This window comes from Homo sapiens, chromosome 11, assembly GCF_000001405.40.
Source record: "Homo sapiens chromosome 11, GRCh38.p14 Primary Assembly".
NCBI lineage: Eukaryota > Metazoa > Chordata > Mammalia > Primates > Hominidae > Homo > Homo sapiens.
Window position 1 is genome coordinate 96,963,880 of NC_000011.10, and position 2,959 is coordinate 96,966,838.

Here is a 2,959-nt window from a genome sequence, read left to right on the forward strand (position 1 = left end):
GGTGAGTCAGTGAGTGAATGAATGTGAAGGCTGAGGACATTACTGTACGCTACTGTAGACTTCATAAATGCTGTAAACTTAAGCTGAATTCAATTTATAAAACAAATTCTTTTATCAGTAATAAATTTAACTTACTGTAGTTTTTTCATTTTATAAACTTTTTAATTTTTTAAAACTTTTTTACTCTTTTGTAATAACAGTTTAAAACACAAATACATTGTGGGAGGTGGAACAAAATGGCCAAGTAGATGCCTCTAGCTACTTTCCTCCTGGCAGAAACACCAAATTGAACAACTTTCTACACAAAAAGTCACCTTCATAAGAACCAAAAATCAAATGAATTATCACAGTACCTGCTTTTAACATCATATCAAGGCAAGAGGCACTGAAGAGAGTAGGAAAGAAGGTCTTGAATCACCTACACTACTCCTCCCTCATCCCTCAGCAGAAACCTGAGTTTCGACAAGACCTTCCATGGCGGGCCAAAGTGTTCTGGGGTTCAAAATAAACTTGACAGGCAGTCTAGGCCACAAGGACTACAATTCCTGGGGAAGTCCTGGTGCTGTGCTAGTCTCAGAACCAGTGGACTTGTGGTACGTACAATCTAGTGGGACACCAGGTGAGGCATCCAAGGGAGTGCTTGCATTACCCCTCCCTCAACCACAGCCCTGGGAGACTACTTCTCTTTGCTTGAGGAGAGAAGATTAAAGAGAATTTTGTCTTGCAACTTGGAGACCAGCTCAGCCACAATAGAATAGGGCACCAGGCAGAGCCCGGAGGCCCCCTTTCTATGCCTTAGCTCCTCCATGAGATTTCTAAGCATACGCTGGGCCAGAATGGAACCCACTTTCTTCAAGGGAAGAATGCAGTCCTGACAGGATTTATCACCTACTGAATAAAGAGCCCTTGGGCTCTGAAAAATCAGCATTGGTAGCCAGGCAGTACTTGTTGTGAGCACTGGGTGAAATTCAGAGGCCTTCTGGCTTCAAGTGTGACTCAGCACATTCTCAGCTATAGTGGCTATGGGGATAAACCCCTTCTGCCTGAGGAAAGGAGAGGAAAGAGTAAAGGGAACTTAGTTTTGTGGCTTGGGCACTAACTCGGCCACAGTGGGGTAGAGCACCAAGCAGGCTCCTAGGGTCACTGATTCTAGGCCTTAGCTCCTAGACAGCATTGCTAGACCTTCCCTGGGCCAGGGGAGTGCCCACTGACCTGAAGGGAGAGACTAAGGACTGGCAGTATCCACCACAAGATCACTGAAGAGCCCTTAGGCCTTGGGTGAACACAGGCAGTAGACAGGCAATGGTCACTGTGGGCTTTAGGTGAAACCCAGTGCTGTACTTGCTTCAGGTCGGACCCAGCACAGTCCCAGTGGCTGTGGCCAAGGGCATGCTTGCATCACCCATCCCCAATACCAGGCAGCTAAGCACAGACAGAGAGAGTCTCTTTCTTTGGAGGAATGTGAGGAAAGGAGAACAAAGGTCCACCTGGTAATCCAGGGAGTTCTTTCAGAGCTTACTAAGACCACCAAGGTGGTACGTCTATGAGTCTGCTAGAGCTGGCAAATTACTGGGCTTGGGATGCCCCCTAAAGCAAATGAAGCTGGAGTGTTCAAAGACTTACATCACAATACCCAAGTTTCTTCAAATATCTAGAGAGCCATCCTAAAAAAAGGATAGGTACAAACAAGCCCAGAGTATGAAGACTAACATAAATACCTCACTCTTTGTGTAAGGCTGTTCTTCCGTTGCTATAAAGAAATACCCGAGACTGGGTAATTATTTTTTCAAAAAGAGGTTTAGTTGGCTCATGATTCTTCAGGCTGTACAGGAAACATGATGCCAGCATCTGCTTGGCTTCTGGAGAGACGTCAAGAAACTTCCAATCATGGTGTAAGGCAAAAGGGGAGCAGACACATCACATGGCCAGAGAAGGAGCAAAGTAGGGAGAGGTTCTACATACTTTTAAACAACCAGATTTCATAAGAACTCACTCACTATCTTGAGGAAGGCACCAACAGGATGGCACTAAACCATTCCTGAGAAATCTCTACTATGATTCAATCACCTCCCACCAGGCCCCACCTCCAACACTGGGGATCACAATTTTACATGAGATTTGGGCAGGGACACAGATCCAATTCACATTATTCTGCCCCTGGCCCCTTCTCATGTCCACAGATCCAAACCACATTACTCTGCCCTGGCCCCAAATCTCATGTCCTTCTCACATTTCAAAATGCAATCATGCCTTCCCAACAGTCCCCCCAGAGTCTTAACTCATTCTAGCATTATCTCAAAAGTCCAAAGTCCAAAATCTCATGTGAAACAAGGCTAGTCCCTTCTGCCTGTGAGCCTGTAAAATCAAAAACAACCTAGTTATTTCCAAGATACAATGGAGGTATAAGCATTGGGTAAATACTCCTGTTCCAAAAGGGATAAATTGGCCGAAAGGAAGGAGCTACAGGTCCCATGCAAGTTAGAAACACAGAAGTTCAGTCGTTAAATCTTAAAGCTCCAAAATAATCTCCTTTGACTCCATGTCCCACATACAGGACACATTGGTGTGAGTCACCCCAATTAAAATGGCTTTTGTCCAAAGACAGACAATAGCAAATTATGGTGAGGATGCAAAGAAAAGAGAACACCTGTACACTGTTGGTAGGAATGCAAATTTGTACAACCACTATATAGAACAATTTGGAGATTCTTCAAAATACTAAAAATAGAACTACCATATGATCCAGCAATCCAGCTGCTAGGTATATGCTCGCCCAAAAGGAAATCAGTTTATTGAAGAGATGTCTGCATTTCCATGTTTATTGTAGCACTATTTGCAATAATCAATATTTGTAAGCAATCTAAATATCTACCAACAAACAAATGCATAAAGAAAATGGTATACATACACATAATGGAGCCATAATAAGAATGAGATCCTGTCATTTGCAACATGTATG

The 2,959-nt window shown here is 43.7% G+C and overlaps 2 annotated features.

Annotated features, from left to right (window-relative positions):
- Positions 628-1,166: an enhancer, noted in NCBI's record as "H3K27ac hESC enhancer chr11:96835507-96836045 (GRCh37/hg19 assembly coordinates)". NCBI's record gives its function as "activates a minimal SCP1, AML or CMV promoter by ChIP-STARR-seq in naive and primed H9 embryonic stem cells {active_cell/tissue: H9 hESC(naive and primed)}" and the evidence as "EXISTENCE:reporter gene assay evidence [ECO:0000049][PMID:30033119]".
- Positions 1,167-1,704: an enhancer, noted in NCBI's record as "H3K27ac hESC enhancer chr11:96836046-96836583 (GRCh37/hg19 assembly coordinates)". NCBI's record gives its function as "activates a minimal SCP1, AML or CMV promoter by ChIP-STARR-seq in primed H9 embryonic stem cells {active_cell/tissue: H9 hESC(primed)}" and the evidence as "EXISTENCE:reporter gene assay evidence [ECO:0000049][PMID:30033119]".